The sequence below is a fragment of the Homo sapiens genome, chromosome 6, assembly GCF_000001405.40.
Source record: "Homo sapiens chromosome 6, GRCh38.p14 Primary Assembly".
Taxonomy (NCBI): Eukaryota; Metazoa; Chordata; class Mammalia; order Primates; family Hominidae; genus Homo; species Homo sapiens.
Window position 1 is genome coordinate 125,370,928 of NC_000006.12, and position 26,627 is coordinate 125,397,554.

Sequence of the window (26,627 nt, forward strand, 5' to 3'; positions counted from 1 at the left end):
GGTGTGGAGTGTTAACTTCTGTTCCTGAGCTAGGATTCTTAAAGCATCGCACACACATGATCCCCTCACAGACAATGGATAAATGGGGAAGAATTTTCTTAGCTGGAATAAATAGCACTCATCTTTATAAAAGGAAGTTTCAAAGCCTGAGAGCTTATTTGGACAAAAACATGAAATACGTTCTTACATAAACCTGGCCCTGGGCCATTTATTCAGATAAATCATATTTTCTCACTTTAAACTCTTGAATTCTAAAGTTTGATATAGAGAGGGCTAAAGGAGCAAACTTAAGAAAGATTAAATAGCATAACCAGGTAGCGGAACTTGAATGCAAGTGCTCTGATTCCCAGGAAACTTGGGACTTCATTGATTTATTGTCTTAATATCATTATATGAAAAAGTAAGGTAATGTATACAACATTTTATGTTTTATTAAAATAACAGAAATATAATAAATACACCTTTGTCCTTACTGATATATGTATTAAACACTTTGAACCTGAGGAGTTTTTTTTTTTTTTTAATTTTTTTTTTATTATACTCTAAGTTTTAGGGTACATGTGCACATTGTGCAGGTTAGTTACATATGTATACATGTGCCATGCTGGTGCGCTGCACCCACCAACGTGTCATCTATCATTAGGTATATCTCCCACTGCTATCCCTCCCCCCATCCCCCGACCCCACCACAGTCCCCAGAGTGTGATATTCCCCTTCCTGTGTCCTTGTGATCTCATTGTTCAATTCCCACCTATGAGTGAGAATATGCGGTGTTTGGTTTTTTGTTCTTGCGATAGTTTACTGAGAATGATGGTTTCCAATTTCATCCATGTCCCTACAAAGGACATGAACTCATCCTTTTTTATGGCTGCATAGTATTCCATGGTGTATATGTGCCACATTTTCTTAATCCGGTCTATCATTGTTGGACATTTGGGTTGGTTCCAAGTCTTTGCTATTGTGAATAATGCCGCAATAAACATACGTGTGCATGTGTCTTTATAGCAGCATGATTTATAGTCCTTTGGGTATATACCCAGTAATGGGATGGCTGGGTCAAATGGTATTTCTAGTTCTAGATCCCTGAGGAATCGCCACACTGACTTCCACAATGGTTGAACTAGTTTACAGTCCCACCAACAGTGTAAAAGTTGAACCTGAGGAGTTTTTTAAAAAATAAAAAGTATGAGCTACTCAATAAAGAAAAGACAAATATTTAAGGTGATGGGTATCCCAATTACACTGATTTGATCTTTATAAATCACATGAATGTATTAAGTTAAAGCCTGTGTTTCGAAAATATGTACATCTATTATCTATCAATAAAAAATTTAAAAACCCCACAAAATTGCTGTCTCAAAAAGAACAACAACAACAAAAAACATGAGCTGTTCAAGAAAACTAGCTCCATTAATTCACAGATTTGTTTTATTTTAATCAAGCACAAAACTATGGGGGTGTAATGGGGCTTGTTATTATTTTCTGTTGAAATTATTTGGTTATTTTATAATGCTTTTACCTAGATTAACTTCATTCTCGTATATGTTTTGTTTCTATATAACTTTGAGCCTATATAAAAATCACAATAATGTTTAAAATTTGATTTTCTGTCACCATTACGGACGTTTAAATAACACTCTTTAAGAAATGACAAGTGAGAACGAAAAAATCCCCATTTGCAGCAATAGCATCAACATTGGTAGAACTTCAATGTAAGAATTACTCTATAGTTTAAACCTTGTGATTATTTCCATAACCATCTATGAATGGATACACATATGGCTGCAAATGAGCTTAGAATCAAGAGAGATGAAATCAGTCTCCATTCTACGTGTTTTACATTTCAATCTCCTTCTGCCCCTTGCCGGTGCTCCAGATTGCTTTCAGTCCAGTTAAACTCTACCTCAAAGACAAATCATTAATCAAGTTTAGGATAATAATAGTAAAAATAGTTAATAGTAATGGGGCACTTATTGCACTCTGAGATGTGCTAACTCTTCACATTCATTCGATCATTTTATCCTCACAATTCTACGAGGTACGTATCTTTACTGCATTTTAGGGATTCTAATATGCACCCCACACACATGCTGACATCTCTGAAATTAAGATGCATCCTCCAAAACAGACAAGTCATTGAATTCTGCTTTCTTTGTTAAATATAAATTAATAGTGCATTTACAATTAACGATGTTTTAGAATTGAAGACACACAGCCCTTTCCTCATTTTCTGAAGTTTTAAATTAAGTCTAGAGAGGTTGAAGAACTTATCCAGGGCCACATGACTAGAGGGACTCAGGCAGTCTGGCTGCAAAGCACACACGGAAAGCCATTCTTACCTCCCAAACTCTTCTTCTCCATCAGTCTCCCCGGCCCCTTTCCTAGGGCATTTCTCATGAAATCATAAGTCCTCCCTCAGGAATGAAGAAGTTCATACACTCTGCATTTAAATCCATCTCTGGGTTATACAAAAATCAGCAACTCTAAAAGTCCAGGAATAGAAAAGACTGTTTTGTTTTAAAAGACAAGAAAAGGGAGAAAGAATAAGATAGGGAAAAAACCCATAATCAAACAATCACTCATGACTTTCTGTATTTTTCTAATTCAAAGTTTCAATTTAAAGAACTAAACTTTTAGACCTGCTAAATTAGGAAAGAAATATTTATTTAATCAAGCCCCAAATGCTAATTTGTGTTTGAGATTATACCCAATTACCAAAAACAGAAGAGTATAGATGGTTTTTAATATTTTCCTTTTTTTAAACTATAAATTTAGTTGATCAGAAAAAAATCTTCTGTGGTTTTTGAGTACAATAAATGTACAATAAAAACATTGATAACACAGCCGCTAAACTGTAGAAAGAGTGTGACTACTAGCATTATCTCTGGTAGCTCTCTTTATCTTTCTATATTTGTTAAATCATTTCATTAATTGTGTCAAATAAAGTGTAAAGTGACATCAGTTGACAAATAAATGGCAAAATGTTCATGTTCAATATTGCTGAAGGTCAACGCAAGGAACTCATCAAGCTTACATGTTTTTTACTTGCTTATGTTAAAAAAATTTACAGAGCAAATATTTACATTCTAAAATATACTTGCTACCAAGTGCATAAATAAATCATGCTATAGTTTTAGACATTTTTACTTCTTAGAAACGTGTAGTTGCCTTAGTAAAAGGAATTTAGTGGAAAAATACTGTAAACACTTACTCTGGTATCTTCATGTTAGAAAGCATTAAATCCTTTACTGATATTAAACTTGTAATATTGTTTTGGGGCTCAGTTTTTCAGGCAACAATCATTTATTAATTGACTGCCGTGCATCAGAAGCTGAGATCAGCATTGATATCCACAAGAGACCAGAATGGCGATCTTGCCTTCCAGGGATTCACACTGCAGAAGAATGTGTAGATAGATAAAGATAGCACGGTGCTGCATGGCATCATAGACATATTAAAAAAGAACTACAGGAGAAGTCGATTCAATTTATACTCAGTTGCACATAGATGCAGATATGTGCCTTATTTTCAGACTGCCTAAGCTTCAACAGTTTTATGTGATTACCTCTTATAAGAATTTTTAAACCACTAATTTGCTGTTTACTTCTTCGTAGTATTGTCACTTCTTCAGCTTATTAGTATCTTTTCTGATTGACTGCCCGTACTATTTACCACCCAAAGGGAAGGACATTTGAAGCTGCTTCTTTAAACACATTTTCAAATGCCCATACCCCCCACCCCACCCATTCCGCTGCACGACAAATGGCAGCATAAGCCAGTGTGATGGCATATGCCGCTACTCCCAGTTACTGGGGACGCTGAGGGGAGAGAATTCAGCCTAAGCAATACAGTGAGACCTTGTCAAAAAAAAAAAAAAAAAAAGTCTAATTATCAAGATGAAAGAAAAAAATAGCCATTTTCATATTCGTGCTTTATTCTGCATTAGATTAAACGCCACAGCCCACTCCCAGATCCTTAATGGGAAACAGGGAAGTAGGGCAACTTTCTCACATTTACATTAAAACAAGTAATCTATTCACTTGGCTTAACATTGTTTTAATGTACAAAACATTTCAAAATATTTAAAAGGTACAAAGTACATGACCCCAGCTGACAGTTGCTGTCCCAAGAGACAAGTCCTCCAGAGATATTTTCTGAATATTCAAGGAAATGTTATTCTTTTATCCCTTCATTTTCTCCCCCTTCCTTCCCTTCTTCCTTTTTCTCTCCATTCATTCCTTCCTCCTTCCTTTGATTGATTTCCTTTTTTCTTTCCCCTCCTTCCTTCTTTTCCTCTGTTTATTCCTTCCTTCCTCTCTCCCTTCCTTCCTTCCTTCCTTCCTCTCTTATTTTGAACATATTATACTAAACTCACTGTCCTTTCCTTTGACATTTTTCATTTAGCGATATGAAATCTTTTCACACGAATAAGTGATGCATTTTGCCATTTTTTTGCAGCTGTCTGCTATTTCCTTAAATAGATATATCAGAATATGTTTTGTATTTTTTCACTTATGAGTAACCTTGAACATATGTTATTTCAATATTGTAAGTATACTTATACTTAGGGCAAATTCTCAAAGGTGAAAATACTATGCTGAAGGATATTTCCAATTGGAACTATAATAGGTATTACCAAACAACCAAAGATTTTTTACTGCCTTCAATTAAAGAGCACCTCGAAACTCTAGTGAAAATATCAGAAAATGACAATATCAGAATTATTTCAACAGTAACAGGAATATCTGGTTCTTAGTTAATTTGCCATTTTTCAGGTTTCAGGTTTTGTCTCTTTGCAGACATGATCAAAAGTTATCTGCTGAGTACAAAAGCAGAATGAAATCATAATAATGATTTAATCTTAAAGACACATAATACATAGATAGAAATTTTAATTCTACTCCACCTCTGTCTTCTCTCATCTTCTCCATCATTTTGGCCACTGATGTTCAAAGCAAATCTGTCTTTAATATAGTTCCTTAACTCTAGGATTTGGATAATCTTTTTGCATGCTTTTATGAGCTGGAATTACAGACAGCAAACACAATTCAGCCTCTTGCTGTGGAAACCACAAACTTCTAAAGGGCATTTTGCCTGGACATCACTTCATAGAGAATAAGCTCTGTCCCTTGGGCAACTTGAAGACTGCCTGCATGACTTGTTGCATCATGTGACCTTTGGCAGTAAAAAATTTAAACCAGAGACAAAACAGGGTATTTCACCTCTGAACAATGGAAATGCCTCCAATTTCTGTGAAAGCTCTCTTCCTATTATACTTTCCACTCCAGTTTATCGTCTAAGCACTCCTGGTTTGAGATCTTGTGAAAAGTGTCAACTTATCTCAGAGAATCATTCAACATGGGCCAAGTGGCCCAGAGAGTAACAGTTCTCACTCTAAGAAAGAAGGTGGAGGGAAAGAATATTGGTTGGCTCCTTGTCTTAAAAATTCCACCTAATAGACAAGGGTTATAGGAACCTGTCTGTTTACTTTGTGGAACTCTTCATGATTCAAAAGAATACCGATGTTAAGATGGGTTTGTGGTGTTGGGTGGTGTGGTGGGATATTATATATTATGGGATGAAAATGTTGCCCAATATTTTCACGAGTTGTCTTGAAAGAGTGGGGGGAACAAATGAGTTTATTAACTAAACAGATCATTGTATCTTTGGTTACTTTGACACAAGAGAATTTCCTCAGCAAGAGAATCCAGTCTCTGAAGATCATTCAGCAACATCCTTATACCTCTAACATGGTGCTACACTCAATGAATCATTGAGGAGTGAAATTAGAATATGAGTTTTCACAGTGCTTTTCCTAGAACACTGTTTTGTTTCTTTGGGGAAGTCAGGAAAGCTCTCTTTCAAAGAGACAGCTAATATGGAAGCAATAAGACAACAAAATGGCTAGAAAAGCCAAGTTGTGTTAAATAAAAAGATGACACTGCGTGATAGCACATTGCTTAGCCAATGTTTTATTAGCAAGATCTTGCAGCAACTTTGACTTTGGGAAAATGAGATGAGGGTCAGTTTAGACCTCGAGTCCCATATGTAATTGAAGAGCCAAGGAAAAAACGGTCAAAGGCTGATGGAACCATAATAAGGGCTGAAGACCACCATCCTTGATCAGTGTTGAGCTATGCAGAGAAAAAGGGAAGGTGAGTAATTAATATGATCCTAAAAACCATTGTAAATGATCAACTAAAAAGTAAAAAGTCACTCCTGGCAGGTTGTGGTGGCTCGCCCCTGTAATGTTAGCACTTTAGGAGACTGAGGTGGGAGGATTGCTTGAGGCCAAGAGTTCGAGACCAGCCTGGGCAAAATAGCAACACCCTATCTCTACGAAAAATAAAGTCACTTTGAAAAACAGTAGAAATGAAAACAGTGGGAAAACACAAAGACGAAGGGGTGATGGCTTTGAAACAGTCCATCAAGGAGAAAGAATAGAAGGAAGTGCCTATGATTTGACCAGGTGGTGAGACTAATGAGGGGCTAAAAGCACAAAGGAAACTGTGGAGATGTGAGAGACTGGTGTTTAAAAAAGTTTTTTTAAAAAACCAAGCAGTGAGCTAGCTGCTTTGGTATGAACTTTCTAAAGAGTAAAGGAATAAATAGAAGAATATGGGGCTTTACTGTAAACCAGATCTCAGGATCTCACAGGCCAGTGTCTTCGCAGTACTGAAAATTCCACAGCCTCCCTGGAAGCTCTTGCCATCAGTAGAAGCTTGTAGCTGGCTATGTTAAACACAAACAACAGCAACAACAAACAACGGAGGCTGCTGGCCCTGAGAAAGAGGATGCGCAATGTTTACACTGGAGGAGAAATATTTTGCCACCCCACAAGATGTGGCGCAACTCCCCTCCCTTTCTTCTTGGGCAAAGCAGAGGAGTGACTGAGTTTTATCTCATGTTCCTTTTCTTATGAGGGATACGGGCCCCCATGCTGCTCAGGCTGACTTCTCATGGAAGAGGGGCTGAATCTGAGTCATTAGAAAACCACATATGGTTTCACTTCCAATGACATCTGGAAAGCAAGAGGTCAGATAGCATCATAGAGATGTCTTGGTGAAAACAGGGACTGAGCTAACGCTGTTCTCTTTGGGAGATTAGTAGGGAGCGAAATGTGGATGGAATTTTAGTGGAGAATTAGAATAATGTTTCTTTTCCTTTACTCGCCTTCTCAAATTACCCTGAAGAGGAGAGGTAAGGACAGAGAAAAATAGGGAAGAACAGCAGAAGGAGCTACTTGAGGGATCACAAGAATTTAAATAAAATCATAACCCTCCAAAAAGAACTGAAAGTTTTTCAACCTCATTTAAGTACTCCCCTTGTGTCTCAGCACTGAGTGGATTCTCATTAACATTTTATATTTAAAGAATTTAGAAATAACTTCTATACATTTTGCTAAAATTTGTTTCTCAAGGCATAATAATTTTCATTTAATTTAACGTGATCAAATAACATAAACCTTGCTACATTTAAACAAATAAAAATAGTATTGGTACTAAAGAAAGCATGTTCTTGTTATAATAGAATCAATTATGACCAATTCATACCCTCCCCAGAATTGGCACCAAGAAACGTGATGGGCACAATAGAAAGATGAGGCAGAAAGCACTCCCTCTCCCTCCCTAAACACAGAACAAGTTCCCTCAAGTCTAATCCCCCCAGCAAGGGATCCCACAGTTTTTCATTAATACAGTACAAAAACATATGGTTAAGAAATAAAAAGAATATAAAGAAATGAGTAGAAGAGCTACGGAATTCAAAGAAAACACATTCCCTGGTTCATACCCACATCTAACTGCCTCAGAAATTTCAACAAACATCAGATGTGATTTTCAAGATGTTTTTTGCTTATTTATGAGCGAAATGCAGGGACTTCCCTATGGGGTAGTAATAATATTTTCTTTCCTTGTATTGAGTTATAATTGTATAGGGTTATTGTGAGGATTAAAATGGGATCTTTGTAAACTGTTGAAGAAATATATAAATTTGTATTTCCAAATTATGAAAACTAATTCTTACTGTTCAGGAAGTGTGGATATGGTTATAGAAGAAAGGAAAGGATAGATTTTTGCCCTAAGTGTGTACCAATCTAAAGATAAAAATTGAAAGTTGTTTTTGGAGAAAAAAAATCCTGACATTAGCCATTTAACAAAAAAATCATTCTTCTTTTCTAGAAGTAAATTCCAGAGAAAAGTAATCCAGTACTGATTTCTATGTGTGTGTCTTACAGTGGAATATAACATATGGGAAGAAATGCCCTGCCCAAAAGGTTCCAATTTTCTTAGAAAGCCCTGAGATCAGGATGAAAGACTGAAAAGAGGGAGGAAAGAAGGGGGGATGAAAGAAAAGTAGGGGAGGAGAGGGAAGGAACAAAGGAGGAAAGAAAGCCACAATAAGACCCAACAAGCAAATGTCTTTTAGCTTCTTAAGAGTAACTTGCTGTTATCCTGCGTGCACACACTGCAGCCCAGCGCCACTATTTGGGCGTTAGCTAGTTTTTTAATCTGAGGCTTTGACTTCCTTTCATCTTCCTGAATCTGATCTAGTTCATCTTTAGAAAGTGCTTAAGGGACTGAGGATCGCAAAGACTCACTCTAAAGAAGATTAAGGTAAATAACAGGTTGGGAAAGGGTTTTTTTCTTCCTTTTGAGTTCAGGCCTTTGAGAATATTTTCACATTTATTTCTATTTAAAGCAAAATATAATTCTTTTACAGGAGTTGAAAGTTGGAATCATTATATCAGCAGGAAAGAGTATCTACTCCACATTCATCTACACATGATGGCAGGATAGTGAGAGTAAAAATGTTAGCAAAATCCCAACCCCGTTCTCCCAAAGTGTGCAGTCATCCCTTCGATTAACACATAATTTACTGAGCACCTACTATGTGCTGTGCATTCACTGTCCCAGGCCTTGGAGATATAGTAGTGAACAAAACAGATGAAAATTTCTTCTCTCAAGAACTTGACATTCTTGGAGTAAAAGGTAGTGAACTGGAGATGCTCTAAAACATCACTAATTTGTCAGATATTACTTGCTTTAAATGCTCTCATATATGTGCATATTGAGTAAGTCTAAGAGTAAGATAAGATTTTTTGAAATTCTAGAAGCAGGAAATAAATGTTTTAAGATCCTTGACCATTTAAGAAAGTTGGAATATATACAAAATATAAGTTTTAGTAGTTTTAAAGCAAATCTAAAATGATTTTTTTAGTTTGAAGAACAAAAGTAGGTTATATAAAATGATTTTTTTCCAGAAATTTTTAATTTTTGGTATTCAGAGATTGACAGTTCGGGTGCCATATAAGCAAGGAAGAAAAATATTTTTCCAACATATTTCACGGGAGAGATGGGAATTGGAGGGAAAGTTTTAAAAAATATTTCTCCCCAACTTTTCTAATTTCATTTTTGTTGTGCTCTCATAAAGCCCAGCCCAGTGTCCTGTCTTTTATAGCTTTTCAACGAATATATGTTGCACAATTATTTTGTCAGTGTGAGGCAAATTCTTGATGTAGAAAACACCTCAAATGTATTGTAGAGCAAAATGTTGTATTAGTTTATGAGACTGACGCACTGCCTACCGTGATAAGAAGGCACCATTATTTTATTAGTTTAAAGCTAAAAAATAACCATATGATTACATGGTTTACAATTAACTCAAACCTTTTCATCCTCAAAAGCGCAAGCTTTCTTTTTAGAAATGAGTAGTGCTTGCCTTCTATTGTTCAAAATTTAATGGAAATGATGACATTGCTTTATTTTTTAACCTGTTAAAAAGATAGTTTTTATAAAATTGCTTCATTATTTTATAACTCTAGAAATTCTATATTATTAAATTACTTACAATATGACTTGCTCTTACTTAGCATAGTTGGAGAAATCAATGGTTTGCTTCATCCGTAGGTACAGGACAGAGGGATAATGCTATGGCAGGCGTAATGAGAGTCTGGGCAGATCCCAAACCAAGGAGTAAACATAGTTGCAGAGGAGCTATGATCAGAGCATTGGGTTTATTTTGTGGTCCAGGAGGTGGAGAGTTAGAGGTCAGCCAAAGTTGATTACTAGGAGCCAAGCGGGGGAAGTGCCAGAGACATGACTGGGAGATGGAGTGGAAAATCCGCAACCTGTGACACTAACCCAGGAACTGAAGGCAGGAACGTGGGAAGCCCAGTAAGTCAGACAGCTCTTCTTCAGTCTAGCAACGCAATTTTAAAGACCTGGCCATGTACTTCTATGCATCGTTTTAAAGGCATTGCCAAACACCTAACTACTGGAATTAATGGATTTTAGTTTGGTGAGAAAGTAGACATTTTTCCAAAGAATTACGGGTGTGTTCAATGAGATCAATGACTGCACTTGTATTAGTTATCCATTGTTGTATAACAAATTAACCCAAAACTTAGCAGCTTAAAACAGCAAATATTTATTATCTTATCATTTCTGTGGGCTAGTAACTCAGGCATAACTTAGCTGGGTGTGTCTGGCCCGTGATATCTTAACAAGGCTGCAATCGAAGTGTTAGCTGGGGCTGCAGTCATCTCAAGTAGGAGAGTAGGAGAAGATCCACTTCCAAGAACACCAGCCTGGCTGTTGGTAGGACTCTTTGCAGCCTGTTGGCCAATGATCTCAGATCCTTGCCACATGGGTCTTTCAGCAGGGCCGCTCACAATATGGCATTCAGACCTCCCTCAGAGTAAGCTAGAGAATGAAAGAGAGCGAGAGGGAATGGGCAAGATAGAAGTCATAGTGTTTCCGACCTCATCTCGGAAGTGACATCCCATCCCATCCCTATTGCCCTCTTCCATATGTCAGAAGCCAGTGGCCATGTGCAGCCCACACTCAAGCAGAGGGGATTATACAAGAGTGTAAATGTTAGGAAGTGAGGGCCATTGGGAGTCAACTTAGAGCCTGCCTTCTGCAGCACTCCACAAAGAATTCTGTATCATTAGGTATTTTAGAACTGAATAGACAACAGATGATCATGTAAGAAACAGGTATTCACCTGCTGGAAGGCAAGAACTGCCATTATCTTAAAGTTTCTTTCACACCTATGACTATATTCTCTGAAATGAAATGGGTTCTTTGTATATTTTTCATAAATTTTGTCTAACACACAATGGTAGTTCAACCACCATCTCATCTATTGTCATATAAGGACCAAAGTCTGGCTAAACTTTCCCTAAGCAGTGGAACAGTAGTTAAGAGAAAGACTGCCAGGATTTGATCCCAGTTTTTTACTTACTAGCTGCTTGATGTTGTTGCCTCAATTTTCTGTTCTGAAAAATGGAAGCAATAGTTTTACCTCACTCATAGTGTTCTAAGAATTAAATTAAGTGTCTAGTACAGTCCCGGGTACATGTTATATGATCAATAAGAGTGAGCTAACTAAAGAAATTTGACCTGTCCTCTATTGACAACTTTTTTGGGAAAAGGAAATTCATATTTTTCATATGATTTCCCATATGTCAGCCACATAGATATTTTTTGTTTCCCTACTTCCTAAGATCTTCATCAAATTAGTCATGCCGTTATTGGTATAAAACTCTCCAACAGCTAAGCACAGTGGCAAGACAATAAAATGTATGTGATTTTAGAGCCAGTCAAAGAGATTGGGACTTCAATTATCTATTTCATATTCTAAGGCTATATCAAGTCCTTCACTCTTTTATAATATATTTATATTTCAGACATTATTTACAGGTATTTGTCTTTTCACTCTCCATGAAACAGCTAGAATTCAAAATAGAAAAATTCCTTTGATGTCTTTTTAGTTCATTCTTTATAGCCTTTGATTTTTTAAATTAAAAAAGTATGCTTATTCTAGAAAAATGAGAGTTCAGCTAAGTAAAAAAGAGAGAGAAAAAGAAAAAGAAAGACATATATGGATTATCCCAATGTTAGTGATCTCTTAGTTGATTTTTAAAGCTTTGGATTTTTAATTTTTTAAAAAATGTATACTTATTTTAGAAAAATAGAGAACATAGATAAGTAAAAATACAGAAAGAAAAACAAAGGAATATTCGCTCATAACCCTAATATCCATAGGAAGCCATGACTAACTTAAGTCTATCTTTCTAGGTATTTTTCTATGCATATATAAAAAATATAATAATAAGAAAAGGCCTGGTGGCTCACGCCTATAATCCCAGCACTTTGGGAGGCTGAGGCAGAAGGATTGTTTGAGCCCAGGAGTTTAAGACCAACCCTGGCAACACAGCGAGACCCTATCTTTACAAATAAAAATAAAATGTAATAGTATGAACATAATATTGTAATCTGTCTCTTTGTTTTTTTTCCTTCCAAAGCATATGTGGGTAAGATGATTTACTCTAAACGAAAGTAAACCAACAGGGAAAAAAAGCTGTTTAGAATATGAAAGAGAAGAGAATGGATTGAGTCTGAGAGCAGGGAGATATGGAGATAATAAGACTGGAGAAGAGAAGAGGAGAGAAGCAAAGGGAGGGAGTTCATTTTGCTACCAGGGAATGCTGGGTTTAACTCTTCTTTCCCTGAAACGTGCAGACACCTGCAACCGCTCACTTTTGACCCTGGGTGGAAGAGATCCCTCCAGCACAGAGATAGTGGCAGGTTTTCTTCATGTTCACATTTTATGAATTTGGTGACTACTCTTTGGATATAGAAGGTGGTTCTTGAGAAAACATTCTGTTGAACACTCAACACACATACTTGCAGAACTCATTTTCATAAAGACCCCATATATGCCTCTTTAGGGGACTGAATTGAAAAAAACCAATGCCCACTAAAAAATACCTTTTCCTTCCAAAAATATCACCCTCAAACTGAAATCCATATAATCATCTAATATGACATTTTGTCTAACCTGGATGAAAGTACCAGTCTGACCCACTTTTGAACTTGAACATAATAACAAACTTTCTAGTATTTTTAAAAAATAATCTAATACCCGTATTTGGCATTTAAAAAATGTATCTCAATAATTAGTTGCTTCTCTATTAAAGAAGGAAATTTAGTCTTAACTCTTGGAAAAATAATTTCTATTTTCCTTTTATAAGGGAAAGTTCCTTTCCACTTTCCTGTAGGCCAGTGATGCACTGTTTAATTTATTGAGAAGTCATTCAACTGACACTCCTTAGTTGGTCCTGAGCTATCAGTCTTTCCCTTTCATTTTCTGCTGGTCTAAAAGATACACATGTCCTCCTCTTTTACATGTATTTTTCTACTTTTTAGAATTCATACCCTTCAATTTATCTGATTTATTGGCATAGAATTGTTTATAATATTTCCTCGTTATTGTTTTAATGTTGATAGAATATGTAATAAAGTCTCATTATTCTAGAATTTAGAAATTTCTGGGGATTTTTCCCGGTTTATCTTAGCCAATCTAATTACTTTACCTATATATTATTAATCACTACAAAAAATTGGCTTTTGGTGTCTTTGGTTTTCTCTATTGTTTGTCTGTTTGCTATTTCATTGACATTTATTCTTGTCTTTACTATATCTTTCCTATGCTTATTTGAGTTTCATTTCATTCTTTTTATAACTTCTTAAGGTAAAAACATATATTATTGATTTTAAACCTTTTTTCCTAATACGAACATTTAGAGTTATAAATTTTTCTCTAAAGCACTGCTGTGTCTACAATTCCCACATTTTGAAATATTGTATTATCAGTCAGGTCTAAATACATATTTGTTAGTTTTCTTTGAGATTTCTTATTTGATCTATAGGTGATATAGAAGTTTGTTGCTTAATTTCCAAATCTTTGAAGATTTCCAGATATATGTTTCTTATTCACTTCTGAAGTAGTATTGTTTTGTTCAAAGCGTGTTTAGAACTGTTTCAATTATTTAATATTTATTGAGACATTTTATAGCTTACACAAGTGCTCTATCTCTGTGAATGTCTCATGTGCACTTAAAAATAATATTTATTCTACTGTTGCTGGATGTAGAATTCTACAAATGTCAATTTGATTTTGTTGACAGTATTGTTCAAATCTTCAATATCTTTACTGATTTATGCCATTTTTTAAAAATCATTTACTGAGACGGGAGTATAAAAACCTTTAATGACAATTGTGGATTTGTCTACTTCTCCCTTCAGCTCTGTCATTCTTTGCTTCATATATTTTGAAGTTCTGTTTTTAGGTGAATACCCATTTATGATTGCTGTCTCCTCTTAATGAACTGACCTGTTTAAAATTGTGAAATGTTTCCCTTGATCAATACTTTCATTCTGAAGTCTACTTTGATCTTAATATGGACACAACTACTTTTCCTATTCTTATCTTTTAATTTTTATTTCTATTAACTATTTCTTAATTGACAAGTAAAAATTGTATATATTTATGGTATGCAGCATAATGTTTTGGTATATGTGTATATTGGGGAATAGTTGAATTAAGCTATTTAACATATACATTACCTCACATGCCATTTTTCTTGGTGTGAACACTTAAAATCTACTCTATTAAATAGGCAACTTTCAAATCGACAATATATTATTAACTGTAGTCATCATAATGTGCAATAGATCTCTTGAACATATTCCTCCTGTCTAACTGAAATTTTGTGTCTGACTGACATCTCCCCAGTGAACCATGCCTCAGCCTCTGGTAACCACCATTTAACTCTGTTTCTATGAGTTTGACACTTTTATACTCCACATGTAAGTGAGATCATATGGTATTTGTTGTTCTTTCTTTGCCTGTCTTGTTTCACCTAATATAATATACTCCAGGTTCATTCATGTTGTTGCAAATGGTTTCCTACTTTTTAAAAGATGAATAGTTATTCCATTGTGCATATATACCACATTTTCTTTATCTATTCATCCAATAATGAACACTTAGGTTAATTTTATATTTTGGCTATTGTGAATGATGCTTCAATGAACATGGAATAGGCACAACTTTCTTTTTAAATTCATGTTTGCATGACATACATTTTACCACCCTTTAATTTTAAACTATTCTTGTCTTTACATCTAATGTATGTCTCTTTTAAGCAACTTATAGTTGGGCCTTGGTTTTTAATCTAATCTGGTGAACTTTATCTTTGATTGGGCAGTTTATTTCATTTACATATAATGCAGTAATTGCTACATTGTTTATAAATATGCTACCTTGTAATTTTTTGTAATTTTTTATTTGTTTCAGATTCTCTCTAGTCTCTTCCCCTTTTTTTCTTCCTTTTTTTTGGATTGAGTACATGTTAGTATTTTATTTCATCTCCTCTACTGGCTTCTGGTTTATCATCATATTTTTTTGTTTTCATTTACTTTTGTTTGTTTTATTATTATACTTAAAGTTCTGGGGTACATGTGCAGAACGTGCAGTTTTGTTACATAGGTATACACGTGCCATGGTGGTTTGCTGCCCATCAACCCGTCACCTACGTTAGGTATTTCTCCTAATGTTATCCCTCCCCTAGCTCCCCACCCCTACAGGCCCCAGTGTGTGATGTTCCCCTCACTATGTCCATGTGTTCTCATTGTTCAACTCCCACTTACGAGTGAGAACATGTGGTGTTTGGTTTTCTGTTCTTGTGATAGTTTGCAGAGAATGATGGTTTCCAGCTTCATCCATGTCCCTGCAAAGGACATGAACTCATCCTTTTTTGTGGCTGCATAGTACTCCATGGTGTATATGTGCCATATTTTCTTTATCCAATGTATTATTGATGGACATTTGGGTTGGTTCCAAGTCTTTACTATTGTGAATAGTGCTGCAGTAAACATACATGTGCATGTGTCTTTATAGTAGAATGATTTATAATCCTTAGGGTGTATATCCAGTAATGGGATTGCTGGGTCAAATGGTATTTCTAGTTCTAGATCCTTGAGGAACTGCCACACTGTCTTCCACAATAGTTGAACTAATTTACACTCCCACCAACAGTGTAAAAGCATTCCTGTTTCTCCACATTCTCTCCAGCATCTGTTGTTTCCTGACTTTTTAATGATCGCCATGCTAACTGGCATGAGATGGTATCGCATTGTGGTTTTAATTTGCATTTCTCTAATGACCAGTGATGATGAGCATTTTTTCATATGTCTGTTGGCTGCATAAATGTCTTATTTTGAGAAGTGTCTGTTCATATCCTTTGTCCACTTTTTGATGGGGTCGTTTGTTTTTTCTTGTAAATTTGTTTAAGTTCCTTGTAGATTCTGGATATTAGCCCTTTGTCAGATGAGTAGATTGCAAAAATTTTCTCCCATTCTGTAGGTTGCCTATTCACTCTGATGATATTTTCCTTTGCTGTGCAGAAGCTCTGTAGTTTAATTAGATCCTATTTGTCAATTCTGGCTTTTGTTGCCATGCTTTTGGTGTTTTAGACATGAAGTCTTTGCCCATGCCCATGTCCTGAATGGTATTGCCCAGGTTTTCTTCTAGGATTTTTATGGTCTATCTATTTTGTTGAGCTTTTCAAAAAACCAGCTCCTGGATTCATTGATTTTTGGGAGGGTTTTTCGTGTCTCTGTCTCCTTCAGTTCTGCTCTGATCTTAGTTATTTCTTGTCTTCTGTTAGATTTGTTTTCATTTTATTAGCAGTTGCTTTACAATTTACAACATGAATTTTTAATCTATCAGAGTCTACCCCCAGTATCATACTAATTTATGTATATGGTAAGAATCTTACAATAGTATACTTCCATTTTCTCCCTTCCCATTTTTGTATTATTGTTTGCTATGTATATTTTATTTTTTTTTTCTTTTTTTTTATTTATTTATTTTTTTTTTCTTTATTTATTTATTTATTTATTTATTTATTTTTTATTTTTTATTTTTATTGATCATTCTTGGGTGTTTCTCGCAGAGGGGGATTTGGCAGGGTCATAGGACAATAGTGGAGGGAAGGTCAGCAGATAAACAAGTGAACAAAGGTCTCTGGTTTTCCTAGGCAGAGGACCCTGCGGCCTTCCGCAGTGTTTGTGTCCCTGGGTACTTAAGATTAGGGAGTGGTGATGACTCTTAACGAGCATGCTGCCTTCAAGCATCTGTTTAACAAAGCACATCTTGCACCGCCCTTAATCCATTTAACCCTGAGTGGACACAGCACATGTTTCAGAGAGCACAGGGTTGGGGATAAGGTCACAGATCAACAGGATCCCAAGGCAGAAGAATTTTTCTTAGTACAGAACAAAATGAAAAGTCTCCCATGTCTACTTCTATCCACACAGACCCGGCAACCATCCGATTTCTCAATTTTTTCCCCACCCTTCCCGCCTTTCTATTCCACAAAACCGCCATTGTCATCATGGCCCATCCCCAATGAGCCGCTGGGCACACCTCCCAGACCGGGTCGTGGCCGGGCAGAGGGGCTCCTCACTTCCCAGTAGGGGCGGCCCGGCAGAAGTGCCCCTCACCTCCCAGATGGGGCGGCTGGCCGGGCGGGGGGCTGACCCCCCCACCGCCCTCCCGGACGGGGCGGCTGGCCAGGCAGAGGGGCTCCTCACTTCCCAGTAGGGGCGGCCGGGCAGAGGCGCCCCTCACCTCCTGGATAGGGCGGCTGGCCGGGCGGGGGGCTGTTCCCCCCACCTCCCTCCCGGACGGGGCGGCTGGCCGGGCAGAGGGGTCCTCACTTCCCAGTAGGGGCGGCCGGGCAGAGGCGCCCCTCACCTCCCGGACGGGGCGGCTGGCCAGGCAGGGGGCTGATCCCCCCACCTCCCTCCCGGACGGGGCGGCTGGCCGGGCGGGGGGCTGACCCCCCCCACCTCCCTCCCGGACGGGGCGGCTGGCCGGGCAGAGGGGTCCTCACTTCCCAGTAGGGGCGGCCGGGCAGAGGCGCCCCTCACCTCCCGGACGGGGCGGCTGGCCAGGCAGGGGGCTGATCCCCCCACCTCCCTCCCGGACGGGGCGGCTGGCCGGGCAGGGGGCTGACCCCCCCTCCCCCCTCCCGGACGGGGCGGCTGGCCGGGCGGGGGGCTGACCCCCCCACCTCCCTCCTGGGCGGGGCGGCTGGCCGGGCAGAGGGGCTCCTCACTTCCCAGTAGGGGCGGCCGGGCAGAGGCGCCCCTCACCTCCCGGACGGGGCGGCTGGCCAGGCGGGGGGCTGACCCCCCACCTCCCTCCCGGACTGGGCGGCTGGCCGGGCGGGGGGTTGACCCCCCCACCTCCCTCCTGGACGGGGCGACTGGCCGGGCAGAGGGGCTCCTCACTTCCCAGTAGGGGCGGCCGGGCAGAGGAGCCCCTCACCTCCCGGCCGGGGCGGCTGGCCGACCCCCCCCCCCCGGCCTCCCTCCCGGACGGGGCGGCTGGCCGGGCAGAGGGGCTCCTCACTTCCCAGTAGGGGCGGCCGGGCAGAGGAGCCCCTCACCTCCCGGACGGGGCGGCTGGCCGGGCGGGGGGCTGACCCCCCCCACCTCCCTCCCGGACGGGGTGGCTGCCGGGCGGAGACGCTCCTCACTTCCCAGACGGGGTGGTTGCCAGACGGAGGGGCTCCTCACTTCTCAGACGGGGCGGTTGCCAGGCAGAGGGTTTCCTCACTTCTCAGACGGAGCGGCCGGGCAGAGACACTCCTCACCTCCCAGACAGGGTTGCGGCCCAGCAGAGGCGCTCCTCACATCCCAGACAGGGCGGTGGGGCAGAGGTGCTCCCCACATCTCAGACGATGGGCGGCCGGGCAGAGACGCTCCTCACTTCCTAGATGGGATGGCGGCGGGGAAGAGGCGCTTCTCGCTTCCTAGATGGGATGGCGGCCGGGCAGAGACGCTCCTCACTTTCCACACTGGGCAGCCAGGCAGAGGGGCTCCTCATATCCCAGACGATGGGTGGCCAAGCAGAGACGCTCCTCACTTCCCAGACGGGGTGGCCGCCGGGCAGAGGCTGCAATCTCGGCTCTTTGGGAGGCCAAGGCAGGCGGCTGGGAGGTGGTTGTAGCGAGCCGAGATCACGCCACTGCACTCCAGCCTGGGCACCATTGAGCACTGAGTGAACGAGACTCCATCTGCAATCCCAGCACCTCGGGAGGCCGAGGCTGGCGGATCACTCGCGGTTAGGAGCTGGAGACCAGCCCGGCCAACACAGCGAAACCCCATCTCCACCAAAAAAAAACGAAAACCAGTCAGGCGTGGCGGCGCGCGCCTGCAATCGCAGGCACTCGGCAGGCTGAGGCAGGAGAATCAGGCAGGGAGGCCGCAGCGAGCCGAGATGGCAGCAGTACAGTCCAGCTTCGGCTCGGCATGAGAGGGAGAGGGAGACGGGAGAGGGAGAGGGAGACGGGAGAGGGAGAGGGAGACGGGAGAGGGAGAGGGAGACGGGAGAGGGAGAGGGAGACGGGAGAGGGAGCTGCTATGTATATTTTAAACTCCATGATATTTTGTTATTTCTGCTTTAAAGAATCAATTAATTTTTGAAGAAATTACAGTATGAAAAAGAATTTTAGATTTGCCTGTATACTAACCGTATCTGGCACCCTTTATTCCTTTGTGTAAAATCAAGTTTTCATATATCATTATCCTTCACCTGAAGACCTTCTTTATACACTTCTTGTAGTTGAAGTCTCCTGGCAATGTATTCTCTCAGATCTGGTTAGTCTGATAATCTCTTTATTTCAACTTCATTTTTGGTGGATATTTTAACTGGTTACAGAATGTTAGGTTCACAGTCTTTTTTTTTTTTCATTTAAGAAAAAAATGGTAATTCATTATTCTATTTCCATTATTTCTGATGAGAAGGCATTATTATTATTATTATTAATATTATTATCACTATTAGTCATTGTTATTATCATTCTCCTGTAGGTGATGTGTGTTTTTCTGTCTGCTTTTAAGATTATGTACCTTGGGACAATCATGGGCTCCCTTCATTTTTGCCTTCTCTGCCAAAGTTCACTGTGCTACGTGCTGTTAAAGATCTGAACTGGTGATTTCATATAATTTTACCCAGGTGAATAGTCATTTATGTCTTAGCACAAGTTTAGCTAGTACTAGTCCCAATATCTGACTGAGCAGAAGCCTGATAGGATAGTTTTAAAACAGCAAACCAATAAGGAGTTTCCTAGGAATAGAGAATTCCCAGCTTGGATTTTTTCTTTTTTCCTTTTCTTTAAGCACTAAGTCATTGACGATTTTAAAGCAAGGTTTTGACTTACTCGGTGATATTATTTAGAGTGTTTTGGCTAATAATTTTAGCAAGACTATATTGAGATGAGGGGAAAAAGGAGGCTTGCTGACCCAATAGGATGCTTTCAATTGTGCGGGTGAGAAATAGTAAAATACCTACACTAACATGAAGGTGCAGAGAAGGGAGAGGAGGGAGAATGAAAGAGATCCCATAGACATGGATGAGGCAAAAACAACCCAACCTAGAGAAGGGCATGAATTCTGACCAAAAGTAGGTAAATGCATAGGAAGAAGGAGTACATTTATTTTAGGCCAGAAGAAAGTGAAAAGGAGAAGACTGAAAGCTCAGGGTCAACTGAGGGATGTCATTTTGAGTCACTTAATAAATTAAACAATGAATCATTGGCCTAGAGAGAAGTAGGAAGGGCACTTGGGATAAAAGGAGAACAGGAATCATTTTTCTAATAGTAAAGATTACCTTTCTCTCTTTAATGGAGAAACAACTGATTATTGAGGTTAAAATATAAAAGCAAAAAAGGTACCTTTGTATAATCCTTATACCATCAAAGAGGCAGAAGATCTCATAATAATCAGATCAGGAAAACTTTACTTACAGTCCGATCTTCACCAGTGATATATAGCAAAACCTCTCATGACATCAGGCATCTAGGCAACACTGCATCATGTCATTGCAGCTTGCTTATTTTGCTGCTGAAACATGTAGTTAAAAGTTTGATTTTATAATTCTATTCTGTTCCTGAAATGCGTTCTGAAGAATTTTTACAAACAAGGCAGTTTCTAAAAGAAGCAAGTGTCTGGATGATAGAAGAAAGCTCAAAAGTGGCCTTTTCTGCAAATCTAGCTGGCAGATCCATTTCCATCACCTGGTCACTGTATTCCCAAATTCCTAGAGGAATTAATGAAATCTAAAGCTGGGGAGCACATTACACCTCTCATTCAAGCCCCTCACTTTACAGACAATGGATCAATTAAACCATGGGTCACTGGCCTAGAGAGAAGTAGGAAGGATATTACTTTCTACTTCTCTCTAGGCCAATGATCCATGGTTTAATTGATGCATTATTTGTAAAGAGAAGAGGAAGATAGGCTCATAGCTTCTCTCAGCTCACAGATGTTATGTGATTGGTACAAGGTCACACAGCTATTACTAGTAGAGCCTTGATTAAAAATCACATCACAGACTGGGTGCAGTGGCTCACGCCTATAATCCCAGCACTTTGGGAGGCCGAGGCGGGCGGATCACGAGGTCAGGAGATCGAGATCATCCTGGCTGATACGGTGAAACCCTGTCTCTACTAAAAAACACAAAAAATTAGCCGGACGTGGTCGTGGGTGCTTGTGGTCCCAGCTACTTGGGAGGCTGAGGCAGGAGAATGGTGTGAACCCAGGAGGTGGAGTTTGCAGTGAGCTGAGGTCATGCCACTGCACTCCAGCCTGGGTGACAGAGCGAGACTCTGTCCCCCCCAAAAAAAAAAAAAGAATCACATCACATATCTACTGTTTATTAAGCATCCTGTACCCAGTATTATGCTACATGCTTTGGTGTCACAATAAATTCCACTGAAAAAACATATCAGAGAGGTTAAGTAAATTGGCAAGGTAACCAACTAGTAAATGGCAGAGATGAAATTTGCTTCAAAGCCTGTCTGACTCCACAGCCTATGCTTTTATCCAATACCCCACAGTGTTTTTTCCCCATTCGTACCACACTTCTTGCCCAGTGTCCCACTGGTAACAGTGAAAGCCAGAACTGACAGTCTTATCAAAACTTGACAGATAGATTTGTAGAAAAACAAATGGGCAAGACTATTGAAACAGCCCACACTATTGTACCTCAGATTCTGACACCAGGAAATCCAATGCTGGGGAAGAAAATGTAGGTTTTTCTCCTTGGTGGCCCCGCTGAAACCCTATACTTCCTCTTTCTCAGGCCACACTACCTTGAAGAATTACGCATCTGGGCCACTCACAGCATCCAATCTACATTTTTTCCAACTCATAAATGGGCTCCCATAAGACTGGTGTTTTTTCCAACTGAGGATCATGACCCATTAGTGCACCAAGAAATCAGTTCAGTGGGTCATGACTAATGAATTTTTTCATCAAATAAAATAGAGTATACTCTTTCCTTTGTCATGGACCCCCAGTAGTAATATTTTAGGCTTGAAAGGGATTTTCTTTATCGTATTGGGTGGCCTTGGGTAGAGGTGGTTTCTTTTAATTTTGATTTCTCTTGAATTAACATTCATTCCATATTTAGTTTGCTGGAATCAGCCTAAATCCTGACCAAAAAAACTCCCTTGCAGAGGCTCCTTAAAAGAAGAGACACTGTTTCCTTATGATCTGTTTATATGATAATTAAACCAGGGTGCTGTTGCAGTCTTTCCATCTTTCTCCTTGCCTAGGGCGTAGAATCTATAGACTTCTCAGGTTAATTGCACCCAATCTAATTCTGCCTCCCCTGTGCAAGTTAGAGCCTAAGTGTCTCCTCAGAGTCTGGAGGACTCTTTGAAGCTTCAGCTGCCTCAAGAGCACAGGGCTGAGAGGCTGAGAATCAGCTGGAATGCAAGTGTTAGTCCCACTCCCTCCCCAAATGAAAAACCACATTGAAGTATTTGTCCTCTGTGCTTTGTTCCTAAAACAAACAATATTTAGCTAAGTATGGTATAAAGGGTGACCATTTGCCACAACTGATAAATAAACTGGTAACCACAATGATGAGGGAGAAGTGGGGTATTTTGTGGTTTTGGGGGGAATTGAAAGCTCTCTTTCAGCGGTGACAGGCCACAAAAGATGAACATCATCAAAACAAGGAAATACATCTTTTTCTTAGAACAGAAGCTTTCTTGGCTGCAGTGGGGAAGCATGTTTTTATTTTTAGGCGATTGCTCTTTAACAGGTAAAAGACATTGTGGAATCATTTCTCTGAGATGGAGATTAAGGGTAGAGGTACAGTTCAAATTTCACTTTTCTGGTTTTTTTTTTTAAATTAAAACCATTTTATTTAAAAATCACACTTGGGGTCCTAATAAAAACTGAAAACTTAATGAGATGGCTGGATTTTGCCTGTCAAAGCAAATTTAATGGGACAAAATTTAAAAATAGGGTATTCTGTGATGCCATGTGTTCAGGTAAAGTTAAAATTTTAGCTGTGTATAATAGTTCAAGATAATTTTTTAAAACTCTGTCTTTTCTATAATTATAATGCAAATCTTTTCTATTTATGTAATCTTTTGGTTTGAAGAAGATTTGATGAAATTTGCCCTATTTAGATTAGGGGCATATAAATTAATGCTAAAAAATATATCAAATAATTTTTATAGCATCTACTAACCAGGAGCATATCTAAATTTACATTTATTTTTCTAAAAGATAAAAATATAATTTTGGCAATAGAATTGTATTCGTCCATTTTCATGCTGCTGATAAAGACATACCCAAGACTGGGAAATTTACAAAGGGAAGAGGTTTCATTGGACTCAGAGTTCCACGTGGCTGGGGAGGCCTCACAATCATGGCAGAAGGCAAGGAGGAGCAAGTCACATCTTGGATGGTGGCAGGCAAAGAGAGAACCTGTGCAGTCAAACCCCTGTTTTTTTTTTTTTTTTTTAAACCATCAGATCTCGTGAGACTTACTATCACGAGAACAGCACGGGAAAGACCCGCCCCCATAATTCAATCACTTCCCACCAGGATCCTCCCAAGACATGTGGGAATTGTGGGAGTTACAATTCAAGATGAAATTTGGGTGGGGACCCAGCCAAACTATATTAAGAATCTGTTTTTGTATCTTATCTGTAGATACCAGATGTGTTTAAAGAGATAAAGGTAGTAGGGAGAAAATAACTTTTAAAGTTCCATTTACATTAAAAACTTTTTGAATCATCTGTACTTGAAATGTGGCTATGAACTATTTGTGACTGTGGTAATATATAGCAGTATAATTATCCAAAATGACTTTTCTCAAGGCTAGAATCCATCTCCAGTGGCATCTACAATACCCATAATTTAAAGCAGCTCTGAATTTTTTTTCTAGGTGTGCAATGTTCAAGATTTGAGGAGGACCTTCCTAATTCTAGGACTTAGTAGAAAAGTCAGTGTTCACTTTTCTATATATTCCCTTAATAATTTTATAAACTTATGTAATTCGTCCTTATAGTTATTTTTATTTAATAGACTTAAACATGTCATACTTTTTCCATTTATATAAATGTATTTATAAGATTTTTGTTTATATCTTTGCAGTCATTTTATACATATTATGTAGCTGATGTACATTTATGATTATATTAGATCTATAGTATCTTGAAACTTTATAATAGCTATTTACTCATATCAATAAAATTGATAAAGATATAATTTTAATTGCTGCATATTTCATAATATGGATCTGCTATAGTTTATTTAACCACTCTGCTTTGTTATAAAAGGGTTAGTTCTTTCTGACCTTTTGTTATTTTAAATAGTGCTATGATTAATTTATTTGTTCAGGAATTTTTTACTTTCTCTTTTACTAACTTCTTAGAATGAATTTCAGACAGTGAAAATACTGGTTCAAAGATATTTTCCCCATTGGTTTAGGATGTTTCTTTCATCATATATTAGGTTCTTATATATTACAGTCAACACCAGGCCTATGTATTTTGTTACATCAATCTGTCTACTGATTTTAGCACCATATTAAATTTTATATAAAGTTTTAATACCTTATAACATAAGTTCTTCCCTAGCTACTCTTTTTCAAACTTCTTAAAACATTTTGTCCCCAAATATTCTTGACTAAGTTTGTCTCTTTATTCTTCAAAATGAAGTTTACAAAATTTTTAATGTCATAAATGTATACCTTGTGAAATTTTATTGGACTTGAATAAATGTATAAATAACTTTGGGAAGAATTAACATATTTCATGTTTCGGGCAGTTCCAAGATGGCCGAATAGGAAGAGCTCCAGTCTACAGCTCCCAGCATGAGTGATGCAGAAGATGGGCAATTTCTGCATTTCCAACTGAGGTACCGGGTTCATCTCACTGGGGCTTGTTGGTCAATGGGTGCAGGAAAGGGGGTGCAGCCCACCGAGCATAAGCCAAAGCAAGGTGAGGCATTGCCTCACCTGGGAAGTGCAAGGGGTCAGGGAATTCCCTTTCCTAGCCAAGGGAAGCTGTGACAGGCGGCACCTGGAAAATCGGATCACTCCCCGCCTAATACTGCGCTTTTCCAATGGTCTTAGCAAAGGGCACACCAGGAGATTATATCCCGCAGATGGCTTGGAGGGTCCCATGCCCGTGGAGCCTCGGTCATTGCTAGCACAGCAGTCTGAGATCAAACTGCAAGGTGGCAGTGAGGCTGGGGGAGGGGCGTCCGCCATTGCTGAGGCTTGAGTAGGTAAACAAAGTGACCTGGAAGCTCGAACTGGGTGGAGCCCACCGCAGCTCAAAGAGGCCTGCCTGCTTCTGTAGACTCCACCTCTGGGGGCAGGGCATAGCTGAACAAAAGGCAGCAGAAACCTCTGCAGACTTAAATGTCCCTGTCTGACAGCTTTGAAGAGAGTAGTGGTTCTCCAAGCATACTGGTTGGTATGCTTGTGGTGAAGGATTTCTCTTGGTTGGTGGGTTTAATGTGTTATAGTTAGTCAAGGTATTCTAGTTCTTGCTTGTAAGCATGTTTGCAAGGTGATTATTGTGAGACTTGGTTTTATACGTACTATGTACAGTCAAGCATTTATAGTACTATATAATATTCATGGTGGCTAGCAGTTTGAGATCTGAGAACAGACAGACTGCCTCCTCAAGTGGGCCCCTGACGCCCAAGTAGCCTATCTGGAAGGCACCCCCCAGTAGGGGCAGACTAACACCTCACACGGCCGGGTACCCCTCTGTGACAAAGCTTCCAGAGGAATGATCAGGCAGCAACATTTGCTGTTCAGCAATATTTGCTGTCCTGCAGCTTCCACTGCTGATACCCAGGCAAACAGCATCTGGAGTGGACCTCCAGCAAACTCCAACAGACCTGCAGCTGAGGGTCCTGACTGTTAGAAGGAAAACTAACAAACAGAAAGGACATCCACACTAAAAACCCATATGTACGTCACCATCATCAAAGACCAAAGGTAGATAAAACCACAAAGATGGGGAAAAAACAGAGCAGAAAAGCTGAAAATTCTAAAAATCAGAGCACCTCTCCCCCTTCAAAGGAACGCAGTTCCTTGCCAGCAATGGAACAAAGCTGGATGGAGAATGACTTTGATGAGTTGAGAGAAGAAGGCTTCAGATGATCAAACATCTCTGAGCTAAAGGAAGCTCGAACCCATTGCAAAGAAGCTAAAAACCTTGAAAAAAGATTAGATGAATGGCTAACTAGAATAACCAGTGTAGATAAATCCTTAAATGACCCGATGGAGCTGAAAACCATGGCACGAGAACTACGTGACAAATGCACAAGCTTCAGTAGCCAATTCGATCAACTGGAAGAAAGGGTATCAGTGATTGAAGATCAAATGAATGAAATGAAGCCAGAAGAGAATTTTGGAGAAAAAAGAGTAAAAAGAAATGAACA

General features: G+C 39.4%; 1 long non-coding RNA gene across 5 annotated transcripts in view, besides 1 other annotated feature; it reads right to left on the reverse strand.

Moving 5' to 3' along the window:
• The window catches only part of LOC102723341 (uncharacterized), a 75,143-nt gene that overhangs the window by 891 nt on the left and 47,625 nt on the right, over nucleotides 1-26,627 (reverse strand). For 2 of the 5 annotated variants that reach the window (NR_187740.1, NR_187739.1), the window contains 2 exons: nucleotides 3,212-3,394; nucleotides 2,340-2,483 (listed from right to left, as the gene is read on the reverse strand). This is a non-coding gene — a long non-coding RNA (uncharacterized LOC102723341). Of the gene's footprint in view, nucleotides 1-2,339; nucleotides 2,508-3,211; nucleotides 3,395-10,404; nucleotides 10,704-26,627 lie in introns of those variants that run through there. The other 3 variants (NR_187743.1, NR_187742.1, NR_187738.1) reach the window with 2 other exon arrangements.
• Nucleotides 19,103-19,651: an enhancer, noted in NCBI's record as "H3K27ac-H3K4me1 hESC enhancer chr6:125711176-125711724 (GRCh37/hg19 assembly coordinates)". NCBI's record gives its function as "activates a minimal SCP1, AML or CMV promoter by ChIP-STARR-seq in primed H9 embryonic stem cells {active_cell/tissue: H9 hESC(primed)}" and the evidence as "EXISTENCE:reporter gene assay evidence [ECO:0000049][PMID:30033119]".